Below are 14,000 nucleotides of genomic sequence, written 5' to 3' on the forward strand. Positions count from 1 at the left end.
GACCCTTATTCACATCCTACATAAAAATTAACTCAAAATGGACTTTAAGAGCTGGAACTATAAAACTTCTAGAAGAAAACATGAGAAAATATCCACATTTTCAGATTAGAAAGAAATTTAAGTACAACACATAAAAGACAATCAAAAAAAGAAAAAATTGCTATCCTTGGCTTCACCAAAATTTGGAAACTTTTGCACTTCAAAAGACACTACTGGAAAATGAAAAGGCAGATCACAGACGGAGAAAATACTTGCACATCAGGTATTTAATAAGGAACTTGTATTCAGAATACATAGAAGTATCTTACAATTCAATAACAAGACAACTAAAGAATGGACAACAAATTTGAATAGCTATAACAACAAAGAATGCTAATGAGCAAATAAGAAATGTTCAACATCATTAGTTGTTAGGGAAATGCAAATTAAAGCTACAATTAGATACCATTCTTCACCCAACAGAATAGTTATAATAAAAAAACATTGACAATATTAAATATTGGTGAGGATACTGAGAAATTGGAACCCTTATATATTGCTGGTGGGTATGTAAAATGTTACAGGCACTTTGGAAAACAATTTGGCAGTTTCTTAAAACTAGCGAATTAAATATAAACTTAGAATAAGACCCAGCAATTCAATTCCTAGATATCTGCCCAAGAGAAATGAAAATATATGTCCACTTAGAAACTTAAATGTGAATGTTTACAGCAACATTATTCATAATAGCCCCAAAATGGAAATAACCCAGATACCATCAGCTGGTGAGTGGATAAGCAAAATGTGGCACATCCATGTAATAGAATACTATTCAGCAATTAAGAAGGAATAAACTACACATTACATGAGCCTCAGTAACATAATGCTAAGTGAAAGAAGCCAGATACAAAAGACAATATATTGTATGACTTCATTTATATGAAATGTCCAGATTATATGATTTCATTTTTATAAAATTTCTCTAGAGACAGAAAGCAGAGCAATGTTTGCCTCAGGCTGGGTTAGGAGAGTGGAAATTGGGCATAAGGGAACTATTTGGGGGTGATGGAAATGCTCTAAACCTAAACTGTGGTGATGGTCATACAGCTTTATAAATTTACCAAATATCACTGACTTGTATACTTACAATGGGTGAATTTATGGTATATGTAAGTTATATCTCAGTAAAATTGTTTCTAAAGAAGTATCCAGATATGGTGGCTCACGCCTGTAATCCCAGCACTTTGAAAGGCCGAGGCAAAAGGATCACTTGAGCCCAGGAGTCTGAGACCTGCCTGGGCAACATGGTGAAACCCTGTTTCTACAGAAAAAATACAAAAATTAGCCCGGTATGGTGGCACGTGCCTGTAGTTGCAGTTGCTCGGGAGGCTGAGGTGGGATAATCACCTGAGCCTGGGAGGTCAAGGCTGCAGTAAGCCATGATCGCACCACTGCATTCCAGCTTGGGTGACAGACTGAGATGCCGCCCCCCACCCCTCCAAAAAATAATAATAAAGAGGTAGGACTTCTAGGTAGCTGAAGATAACAGCAGTAGCCTATGTTCTAGCTCCCAATACTTATTTTATAAACAATACAGAACATTATACAAGGAAAAATGAAACTACATGACAATCATGTTCTTAGCATGACTTGAAGACAGAGAATGTCCAAACTTCAAAATAATTGTAAATAAAATGGAAAAAACACCAAATGCCAATGCATGATCTCTCTAGCTCCTGATATTCTGGTACATCGGAGCATGGACTACAGGGAAGACGCTATAAAGTACCATGCAATCTGAAGAGGCAGTTTTCAAAAAGGATAGCTTCTCAGGGAAAAGGCAGAAAGAGAGGGGCACTTTTGGCATTTGGGTGTGAAGGAAGAAAGAAGCATAAGGAGGAAAATACTGGACAAGAGAAAACCAAAAAATGAGAGGTCATACAATCCCATCAAGAATTTGTGGGCTGGGTGTGGTTGCTCATGCCTGTAATCCTAGCACTTTGGGAGGCTGAGGCGGCTGGATCACCTGAGGTCAGGAGTTTGAGACCAGCCTGGCCAACATGGTGAAACCCTGTCTCTACTAAAAATAAAAAATAAAAAATTAGCAGGGCACAGTGGTGGGCACCTGTAATCCCAGCTACTATGGAGGGTGAAGCAGGAGAGTCGCGTGAACCCAGGAGGTGGGGGTTGCAGTGAGCTGAGGTCATGCCATTGCACTCCAGCCTGGGCAACTAGAGCGAAACTCTGTCGCAAAAAAAAAAAAAAAAAGAAAAAATTGTGGAGAGCTTAATTAGCCCCTCTTTGTTTTTCTCATTTCCAGCCTCTCCCTGTTGAATTTTTGGCTAGTTTGCCATTCTGTCACTTGCCCTAATGAGGCGAGCAGAACTGGCATTTCCTATCAAGTTTGTCAATTTTACTGACAATAGTTTGCTACTTTTATTAGACAATGCTGCTAGGCAGAGTTCTCCCACCCTCAGCTCAAGTCAGCTGTTGGTTTTCAAAGCCAGTCCTACCATGGTAGAATTAGTTTGGGGATGGGCAGGAGGATGGAAGCAGCTACAGGCAAGAAAATAAGAGACTTCTACTTTATTACTAGAAGTTCAGCAATTTTTCATGAATAAATGCTTCTCAATTTGTTGTTTGCCTTTGTGTGATTTCCAAAGCCCAGAAATGATGGCTTTTGTCTAGTTTTATATTTGTTTCTTGGGGAGAGGATTTGCTGATATCCAAATAAACTCTTTGATACTTGGAAATCCTCCCCCTCTTTATTTGCTGTTAATGTGTACAGTTTGAGGCATTTTTCTTGAGGGTATTATAGGTGGGTATGTATAATTGATATATACGTATTTTTTAATGTGGCCTCTTTACAATTACTGAAAATAGGATCCTCAAAAGCAGGGATGTTATGCATAAACCAGGGAACAGATCTGACCCACTGCCTATTTTTATGAAGTTTTATTGTAACACTGCCATTCTCATTCATTTATATATTGTCTGTGGCCACTTTTTTACTGTAACAGCAGGATTGAGTAGTTGCAAAAGTTTGTCTGGGCTGCAAAGCCTAAAATATTTGCTCTTTAGCCCTTTACACAAAAAGCTTGCTGACCCTTGCTTGAGAGAATCATTATCATAATTAATATTATAATTATCACTTTAAATAACATTATTACTTTTGTTTGTTTTTTAAATTTCATATTTATTCTTTATCTTCTCAATAACCCCATGTAGCAAACTGGACAGATATCAGATATTTAAACTATCATTTATCAGATTTCAAAAACTAATGGTAAACTTGCATTAAATAAATATTATATAAATTATAATTCAAACTACATATTCTAAAAATTAATATTTATTAAAGGTAGCCTAACAATCCTAGAATTTAACAGCAGAATACAAACAATTCAATATGTTATAGTAATTTCATTTTGGCCCAGAGTAACATTTATTGTAGCAATATTATTTTTACATTCACTTCTGCCATTCATTATGCCTGCTCCAAATAACCAAACTACTGCAAAGTCTGAGCCATGAGAAATGCAAATTTTTCTCCTTGACATTTTGAAATATTCTTGCTTTGCTATTAGTTCGCATTTGAACAGGTAATACTAAATACTTTATGGAGCAATTTCCTCAGTTCAACATTTCTTACCTGTTAGAAGAGCCATTCAGTATTCTTTGTTGTAAAATATGTCTGTGGGTTGGGCAAGAGGGAGGGAGGTTATCTGGAAATGAGTCTTCTCCTTGAGGTGCTAAAGACAGGCCAATAAATGCTTCATTTAGCATATCCCCTCTGTCCAAGGGTCCCAGGAGTTCTGTTGAAAATGATTAATATGTGAGTGAAATACTAAGTACAATTTCTGCTAACTCCCTTATAAGTAAGATTACAGAACAACATTCACATATCCCAGTGGAACTTTTTTCTTTGTCAATTTCAAAATCTTGTTGTCCTAGTTCCCTATGACTTCTGTCATTCTTATACTTACTTCAGCAGTTTGATAACAGAATAGTGAATGTTTTCAAGTATAGATTTTAAAAAATTCATTTATATCTTGCTTATGTGTAGTGTTTTTAACGAGCATATTATTTATAAAATTTTTTTGTTTTTGTTAGCCAATTACTGGAATATTTTATCTTGGAATATTGCAGGAAGTGATTTTACTCTTTCACATATAGCACATAACTTGAAAAGAAAAGGAAAATATCTTTCCCAATATTTGCTTTCAATTAGCATTTTAAACTTTATAGGGAGATATATACTCCCATATCTTAGAGATGTACAGAGGTGTATAGAGAGATATTGGCAACTTTGACAGGGCATTGTTTAAAAATGTTGTTTGAAACATAATGAAGCTGTGAAAAATATATTTTTTGTAAGAAACATAAACCTTATTAAAAACCAAAAAAAAAAACCTCTTAGGACCACCGTGTATGGCAAAACATATTTTTTACCATCTTAAACATTTTAAAGCATACAGTTCAATAGTGTTAAGTGTATTCACATTGTTGTGAAGCAAATCTCCAGAACTTTTTTGTCTTGCAAAACTGAAACTGCACCCATTGTACAATTCCCCATTTGCCCCTCTCCCAGTTTGATAACCAACGTGTTATTTTCTGTTTCTATGAATTTGATAACTTTAGATCTTGTATAAGTGGTATCATACAGTATTCACGTTTTTGTCACTGGCTTATTTCACTTAGCATAATGTCCTCAAGGTTTATCCGTGTTGTAGTATGTGACAAGATTTCTTCCTTTTTAAGACTGAATAGTAAGCTGTTGTATGTATATACCATGCTTTGTTTTTCCATTCTCTATCTATTGACATTTGGGTTGCTTCCACCTCTTGGCTATTGTGAATAATGCTGCTATGAACATGGATGTGCAGATATCTCCGAGACCCTGCTATCAGTGCTTTTGGACATATACTCAGAAGGGGGATTGCCTATCATACAGTGGATCTATCTTTAAATTTTTGAGGAAATGCCATACTGTTTTCATTGTGGTTCACCATTTTACAATCCTACCAACAGTGCACAAAGATTCTAATTTCTCCAAATCCTTGACAAACTTGTTATTTTCTGTTTTTTTAAAACTAGTCATCCTAATGAATGTGACATGCTACCTTATGGTTTTGATTTGCATTTCTCTAATAAGTGATACTGAGCATCTTTTTATATGCTTGTTGGTCATTTGTATACCTTCACTGAAGAAATGTGGATTCAAGTCACTTGTCCTTTTTTTCTTTGAGACAGAGTCTCACTCTGTTGCCCAGGCTGGAGTGCAGTATCACAATCATGGCTCACTAAAGTCTTGACCTCTCAGGCTCAAGTGATCCTCCCACCTCAGCCCTCTTGAGTAGCTGGGACTACAGGTGTGTACCACAATGCATGACTCATTTAAAAAAAACATTATTGTAGAGAGGGGCTTTCACTAGGTTGCCCAGGCTGGTCTTGAACTCCTGGGGTCAAGCAATCTTCCCACTTCCTGTGGTGGCTCATGCCTGTAATCCTGCCTCCCAAAGTGCTGGCATTACAGGCATGAGCCATGGCACCCAGCCCCCTTGCCCATTTTTAATTAGGTTGTTTTTGTTTTTAAGTTGTAGGAGCTCTGTATGTAGTCTAGATATTAATGCTTTGTCAGATTTGCAAATATTTTCTCCCATTCCTTAGGCTGTCTGTTCACTTTATTGGTACTTTATTGTGTCCTTTAATGCATAAAAGTTTTTAAGTTGGATTAAGCCCCATTTGTAGTCCCATTTGTCTATTTTGCTTTTGTTGCCTATGCTTTTGGTGTCACATACAAGAAATCATTGTCATATCCAATATCATGAAGCTTTTCTCTAATGTTTTCTTCTAGCAGTTTTATACTTTTGTTTCTTATGTTTAGGTCTTTAATTCATTTTGAGTTAATTTTTGTTTGTGGTGTAACAAAAGGGTCCAACTTGCTCTTTTGCATGGGGATATCCAGTTTCCCAGCAACGTTTGTTGAAGAGATAGTTCCTTTTGCATTGAATGGTGTTGACATCTGTCAAAAATTGTTTGACCATATGGTTAATGGTTTATATCTGGGCTCTCAATTCTGTTCATTTTTGTTGGTCTATATGTCTGTGTTTATGCCAGTACTAATGTTTAGATTACTGTAGCCTTGTAATATGTTTTGAATCAGAAAGACCTCTTTTTCCCTTTTGAAGATTGTTCTGGCTATTCAGCATCTCTTGTGATTCCATATGAATTTTTAAATGGATTTTTCTATATTTCCAAAGATGCCATTGGGATTTTGATAGGGATTGCACTGAATTGGTAGATTACCTTGGGCAATACTGACATTTTAACAACATGAAGTATTCCAATCCATGAATATTGGATGTCTTTCAATTTATTTGTGTCTTTAATACCTATCAGCAGTGTTTTCTAGTTTTAAGTCTTTTACCTCCTTGGTTAGGTTTATTCCAAAGTATTTTATTCTTTTTGATGCTATTGTAAATGAAATTGTTTTCTTGCTGTCCTTTGCAGATTGCTCATTTTTAGTGTCAGAAATGCAATGAATTTTTGTATGTTGACTTGTATCTTGCAACTTTGCTGAATTCAATTATTCTAAAGTTTAAATGGGATCTTTAGGGCTTGCTGCATAGGAAATTAAGATATCTATAACCAGAGACAATTTTACTTCCTTTCTGATTTTGGTGCCTTTTATTTCACTTGCATAATTGCTTTGACTAGGACATTCCAGTATTATGTTAAATAGAAGGGGTGAAAGCAGGCATCTTTGTCTTGTTCCTGATCCTAGAGAAAGGGCTTTCAGTTTTTCACCATTGAGACTGATGTTACCTGTGGTCTTTTCATGTATAGCCTTTATTATGTTGGAGTATTAATAGTTTCCTTACATCCTAGTTTGTTGAACATTTTTAGCATGAAAGAACATCAAATTTTGTCAAATGCTTTTTTGTGTGTGTATCAATTGAGATGATTATGTAGTTCTCATCTTTCATTCTGTTAATGTGATTAGAATGATTTTCTTATGTTGAACCATCCTTACTTTACATCAGTAAATTTTACTTGATCATGGTGTATTATCTTTTTACTATGCCTAAGAATTTCGTTGGCTGGTATTTTGTTAATGACTTTTGCTCCAATATCTATCAAGAACGTTGGTCTGTAGTTTTCTTTGTCTTCATCTGGCTTTGTTACTAGGGTAATGCTGGCCTTATATAATGAATTTGGGATTTTCCCTTCTTTTAATTTTTTTGGAAGAGTTTGAGGAGAATGGGTGCTAATTCTTTAAATATTTGCTGGAATATTCTAATGAAGGCATGAGGTCTTGGGCTTTTCTTTGTGTGGAGTATTGGTTACTGATGCAATCTCTTTAATAGTTGTAAGTCTGTCCAGATTATGTAATTCTTCATTATCCAATCTTGGTTAGTTGTGTGTTTAAAAGATTTTGTCCATTTATGTAAGTTTTCCAGTTTGTTGGCATATGACTGTTTGTAATATTCTCTTACAACCCTCTTTATTTTATGTCGTATTGGCTGTAATATCCCCTCTTTCACTTTTGATTTTAGTTATTTGAGTCTTCTCTCTTTTTTTTAATTAGTATACCTAATAATTGGTCAGTTTTGTAGATATTTTAGAAAAACCACCTCTTAAGTTTTGTTGATTTTTTTCTATTGCTTTTGTATTCTGTATTTCATTGATCTTTGCTCTAAACTTTATTATTTTCTTCTGTTAGCTTTGGGTTTAGTTTGTTTTTCTTTCTTTTCAGTTTCTTAAGGTACAAAGTTAGGTTATTAATTTTCAATCTTTCTTCTTTTTTAATGTAAACATAGCCATAAACTTCTCTGTTAGTACTGTTTTCACTGCGTCTCACAAGTTTGGGCACTGATATGGCTTGGATGTTCCCTCCAAATCTCATGTTGAGATGTAATCCCCAGTGTTGGAGGTGGGACCTTGTATTAGGCTGTTCTTGCATCACTATAAAGAAATACCATACAACCTGAGCAACATGTCAAAACCCCATTTCTACAAAAAGTACAAAAATTACCTAGGCGTGGTAGCTCATGCCTGTAGTTGCAGTTACTCAGGAATTTGAGGCTGGAGAATCGCTTGACCAGGGAAATGGAGGTTGCAGTGAGCTGAGACTGCACCACTGCACTCCAGCCTGGGTGACAGAGTGAGACCCTGTCTCGGGGGGAAAAAAAAAAAAGAAATATCAGAGACTGGGTAATTTATAAAGAAAAGGGGTTTAATTGACTCATTGTTCTGCAGGCTATACATGCATGATGCTGGCATCTGCTCAGCTTCTGGGGAGGACTCAGGGAACTTTTCCTCATGGAGGAAGGTGAAATGGAAGGTGACTGGATTATGGGGGCAGATTTCTCATAAATGGTTTAGCACCATCCCCTTGGTGCTGTCTTTGCAATAGTGAGTTCTCATGAGATCTGGCTGTTTAAAAGTGTGTGGCACCTCCCCCTTCTCTTTCTCCTTCTCCAGCCTTCCCTTGCTCTTCCCATTTCACCTTCTGCCATGAGGAAAAGCTCCCTAAGGCCTCCTCAGAAGCTGAGTAGATGCCAGCACTGTGCTTGTAGAGCCTGCAGAACTATCAATAAAACTTCTTTTCTTTATGAATTACCCAGTCTGGAGTATTCCTTTATAGCAATCCAAGAATGGCCTAACACAGGAACATTTTTTTCATTTTCATTTGTCTCAAGAGGCTTTCTAATTTTCCTTGTGATTTCTTCTTTGACCTGTTGTTTAAGAGTGCATTGCTTAATTTTCATGTATTTGTGGATTTTCCAGTTTTCCTTCTGTTGTTGATGTGTAGTGTCATTTCACTGTAATCAGAGAAGATATTTTCTGTGATTGCTGTCTTTTAAAATTTGTTAAGATTTGTTTTGTGGCCTTCATGTGGTCTGTTTTGGAGAATGTTCCATGTGCACTTGAAAATAATGTGTTTTTTTTGCAGTTGATGGGTGAGTGTTCTGTATATGTTCTGTTCTTTATATAGACCTGGAGGTCATTATCTTAAGTGAAATAACTCAGAAAACAGAAAGTCAAATACCATATGTTCTCATTTATAAATAGGAGCTAAATACTGTGAACACATGGAAATAGAGTGTACAATAATAGACACTGGAGCCTCAGAACAGTGGGAGGGTGGTAACTGTGTTGTTGAAGACCTCTATTACTTTTTTTTGGTATGCATTTAAGGGGTACAAGTGCAGTTTTGTTACATGGATATACTGTGTAGTGGTAAAGTCTGGCCATTTAGTGTAACCACCACCTGAATAATATACATAGTACCCATTAATTTATTTCTCATCCTTTACCCACCTCCTACACTACTGAATCTCCAGTGTCCATTATTCCATACTTTATGTCCATATGTACACATTATTTAGCTCTCACTTGTGAGAACATGTGGTGTTTGACTTTCTGTTTCTGAGTTATTTCACTTAAGATTATAGCCTCCAGTTCCATCAATGTTGCTGCAAAAGATGATTTTATTCTTTTATATGGCTGAGTAGTATTCCATTGCACATATATACTACATTTTCTGTATCTAGTCCTTCACTGATGTAAACGTAGGTGATTCCATCTCTTTGGTATTGTGAATAGTGCAGTGATAAACATATGAGTGTGGGTATCTTTTAGATCTAATTATTTTTCCTTTGGGTAGATAGCCAGTAGTGGGATTGCTGCCTAGAATGGCAGTTCTATTTGCAGTTCTATGAGAAATCTCCATACGGTTTTCCATACAGGTTATACTAATTTACATTCCCACTAACAGTGTGTAAGTGTTCCATTTTCTCTGCATCCTTACCAACATGTTATTTTTTGAATTTTTAGTATTAGCCATTATGACTTGCGTGAAATATGTCATTGTGGTTTTAATTTGCATTTCTCTGATTGTGAGTGATGTTAAAAATTTTTTCATATGCAGGTTAGACATTTGTATGTTTTCTTTTGAAAAAATATTCATGTTCTTTGCCCATTCAGTAGTGTAGGAGGTGGGTAAAGGATGAGAAAATATTTATGTTCTTTTATTTGTTTTTGTTGTTGTTGAGTTGTTTGAGTTCCTTGTATATTAGTCCCTTGTTGTATGCATAGTTTGTAAATGTTTTCTCCCATTCTACACATTGTCTGTTCTCTTATTTCTTTTCGCTTTGCAGAAGCTCTTTAGTTGAATTAAGTCCCATTTGTCTATTTGTGTTTTTGTTGCATTTGCTTTCGAGGCCTTAGTCATAAATTGCTCATCTAGGCCAATGTCCAGAGGAGTTTTCCGTAGGTTTTCTTCTAGTATTTTTATAGTTTCAGGTCTTACATTTAAGCTTTTAATTGATCTTGAGTTGGCTTGTAGATGGTGAGAGACAGAAGTCCAGTTTCATTCTTCTGCACAGGTAATCCAATTTTCCTAGCACCACTTATTGTAAAGGATGTCCTTTCCTCAGGGTATGTTTGTGTTGACATTGTCAAAGATCAGTTGTCTGTAGGTATATGGCTTTATTTCTGAGTTCTCTATTCTGTTACATTGATCTGTATGTCTATTTTTATACAAGTACCATGCTGTTTTGGTTACTGTAACCTCATAGTATAATTTGAAGTCAGGTAATGTGATGCCTCCAGCTTTGTTCTTTTTGCTTACAATTGCTTTGGATATTCAGGCTCTTTTTTCATTCTATATGAATTTTAGGATTGTTTTTTCTAATTCTATGAAAAATTACATTTTAAAAATAGGAATTACATTCAATCTATACATCTGTATGGTTTTTTTTTAATGATATTGATTTTTGTGATCCATGAACATGGGAGGTTTTTCCATTTGTGTCATGTATGATTTCTATCATCAGTGTTTTGTAGTTTTCCTTGTAAAGATCTTTCACCCCCTTGTTTAAAATATATTCCTAAATATTTTACTTTTTTTGTAGCTATTGTAGTTCTTGATTTGGTTCTCAGTTTGTTGTTGATGTATAGAAATGACACTGATTTTTGTACACCAATTTCATATTCTGAAACTTTACTGAACTTATGAAATCTGGGAGTCTTTGGGATTTTCTAGGTATAAGATCATATCATGAGCAAACAGAGATAAGTTGACTTCATCTTTTCCAAATTTGGATGCCTTTTATTTCTTCTCTTGCCTGATTGCTCTGGCTTGGGCTTCTAGTATGTTGAATAGGAGTGGTGAAAGTGGTCATCATTGTCTTGTTCCAGTTCTTCGGGAGACTGCTTTCAAATTTTCCCTGTTTAGTATAATGTTTTCTGTGGTCTTATCATATATTGCTTTTATTATTTTGCAGTATGTTCCCTCTATGCCTAGTTTGTTGAGGATTTTATCACAAAAGGATCCTTAATTTTATCAAATGCTTTTTCTGTATCTATTGAGATATTTATATAGTTTGTTTTTAATTCTCCTTATGTAATGAATCAAATTTGTTTACTTGAGTATGTTGAACTATACTTGCATCTTTGGAATAAAACCATTTGATTGTGATGTATTATGTTTTTGATGTGCTGTTGTATTGGGTTTGCTAGTACTTTGCTGCAGATTTTTGCATCTATGTTCATCAGAGATTTTGGTCTATAGTTTTCATTTTTTGTTGTGTGCTAGTCCGGCTTTAGTATCAGAATAATACTGGCTCTGTAGAATGAGTCAGGGAGGCTTCCCTTCTCATTGAAGTTTTGGAAGCATTTCAGAGGGCATTGGTACCAGTTCTTTGTAGATTTGGTAGAATTTGGCTGTGAATCCATTTGGCCCTGGACTTTTTTTTTTTTTTTTTTTCCTTAGGAGACTTTTTTGTTACTGATTAAGTGTCACTACTTGTTATTGGTCTGCTTAGGATTTCTATGTGTTCAATCTCGGGTGGTTTTATGTTTCCAGGAATTTATATGTCTTCTAGATTTTCTAGTTTGTGAGTGTAGAGGTGTTCATGGTAGTCTTTGATGATCACTTGTATTGTGGTATCAGTTCTAATGTCTCCTTTTAAATTTCTGATTGTTTATTGGATCTTCTGTCTTCTTTTCTTGATTAGTCTAGCTAGCAGTTTGTCAACTTTATTTTATCAACGAACCAACTTTCTGTTTCTTTGACCCTTTATAATGTTCTTTTGTTCACAATTTCATTTACTTCTTCCCTGATTTGTTATTTGTTTTCTGTTAGCTTTGAGTTTTCTTTGTTCTTTTTTTTCTAGTTCCTTGAGGTGTGATGTTAGGTTGTTAATTTGATTTTTCTGTTCTTTGGCTGTAAGCATTTAATGCTATAAACTTCCCTCTTAGCACTGCTTTTGCTGTATCCCAGAGGTTTTGGTATGTTGTTTTCATTTTCATTCATTTCTAAAAATTTTTAAGTTTCCATCTTAATTTTGTCTTTGACCTAAAGACCATTCAGGGATATGTTATCCAATTTCCATGTATTTGTATAGTTTCAACAGTTCCTCCTGGTATTGATTTATAGTTTTATTTTTCTGTGGTCTGAGAAAATACTTGGTATGATTTCAATTTTTAAAAATTTATTGAGATTTGTTTTGTGACCTAATATATGGTCTGTGTTTGAGAATGCTGCATGCACTGATGAGAAGAATCTATATTCCGCTGTTGTTGGGTAGAGTGTTCTGTAAATGTCTGTCAGGTACATTTGGTCTCAAGATCAATTTAAGCCCAGTGTTTCCTTGTTTTTCTGTCTCAATGATCTGTGAACTGCTACAGGTACAGTGTTGAAGTCTCCCACCATTATTATATTGCTGTCTATCTCTTTATGTCCAGTAATATTTGTTTTGTGACTCTGACTGCTCCAGTGTTTGGTGTGTATATATTCAGGATTTTTATGTCCTTTTGTAGAATTGATCCCTTTACATTATATAATGACTGACTTTGTCTTTTTTTTACTTTTGTTGATTAAAAGTCTGTTTTATCTGATATAAGCGTAGATACTCCTGCTCACTTTTAGTTTCTGTTTGTGCAGGAGATCTGTTTCTAGTCCTTTACCTTCAGGCTATAAGAATCTTTACCAATATGGGGAGTTTCTTATAGTTCTTATGAAAATATGGTTCATATTTTAAAAAACCCATCTGCCAATCTATACCTTTTAAATTAAGCATTTTATCTACTTATGTACAATGTTCATAGTTATATGTGAGGTTTGTTTCTATCATAATGTTAATTGTTATCAAATTGCTTTGTACATTATTTGCATCTTTTTTTCCCTCTTTCTGTTTGTCTTTGTTGTTTGGTGGAGTTCTGTCCTGTTGTAATTTGATTTCTTTCTCTTCCTCCTTTGTGTAACTAACTGTTTTTATAAGACCTGTGAGTTTTATAGTTTTGTGTATTTTTTATGATGGCAAACATTGACCATTTTGTTCCATGTTTAGAACTCCTTTGAATATTTTTATAGGGTTCGTCTAGTGGTGATAAATTCCATCAGTGTTTGGGAAGTACCTTATTTCTCCTTTATTTATGAAACTTATTTTAGCAGAATACAAAATCTGTGGTTGACAATTTTTTTTTCCTTTAAGCACATTGAAAATAGAATCCCAATCTTTTACTGGCTTATAAAGTTCCCACTGAGAAGTCCACCGTTAGTCTGATGGAGCTTCCTTTACAAGTGACTAGATGATTTTCTCTTGCTGATTTTAGGATTTCTTCCTTTATATTAATTTTAGACAATTTAATGACTATACGTTGTGGTGAAATCCACCTGGCAGTGTGTTCTCCTAGTATTCATTTGGCCTCTTGTATTTGCATGTCTAAATCTCTTATAAAATTAGGGAAATTTTCATCTATTATTTCCTTAAATGATTTTCAAAACTTTGTTTTTTCTTCCCCCTCAGGAACACCAATGATTCGTAAGTTTAGATTCTTTATATAATCCCATGCTTCTCAAAATATTCATTCTATTTTATTCTTTTTTCTTTGTCTAACTAGATTAATTCAAAGGATTTTCTTCAAATTTTGAGATTTTGTCTTCTGCTTTATCTAGTCAGTTATTGACCCTTTCAGCCATATTTTGTAATTCCTTCAGTGAATTTTTC

General features: G+C 34.8%; 1 protein-coding gene across 18 annotated transcripts in view; it reads right to left on the reverse strand.

Annotated features, from left to right (window-relative positions):
• Positions 1 to 14,000, reverse strand: part of WDPCP (WD repeat containing planar cell polarity effector) — a 721,268-nt gene that overhangs the window by 51,480 nt on the left and 655,788 nt on the right. For 16 of the 18 annotated variants that reach the window (NR_148705.2, NR_148704.2, NR_122106.2 and 13 more), the window contains one exon: positions 3,632 to 3,794. Coding sequence is in view for 13 of the 18 variants with exons in the window: in XM_047444629.1 (XP_047300585.1) it covers positions 3,632 to 3,794 (163 nt within the window). In the remaining 5 variants the exon portion in view is untranslated. Of the gene's footprint in view, positions 1 to 3,631; positions 3,795 to 14,000 lie in introns of those variants that run through there. The other 2 variants (XR_007076380.1, XR_007076379.1) reach the window with 1 other exon arrangement.

This window comes from Homo sapiens, chromosome 2 (assembly GCF_000001405.40).
Source record: "Homo sapiens chromosome 2, GRCh38.p14 Primary Assembly".
NCBI lineage: Eukaryota > Metazoa > Chordata > Mammalia > Primates > Hominidae > Homo > Homo sapiens.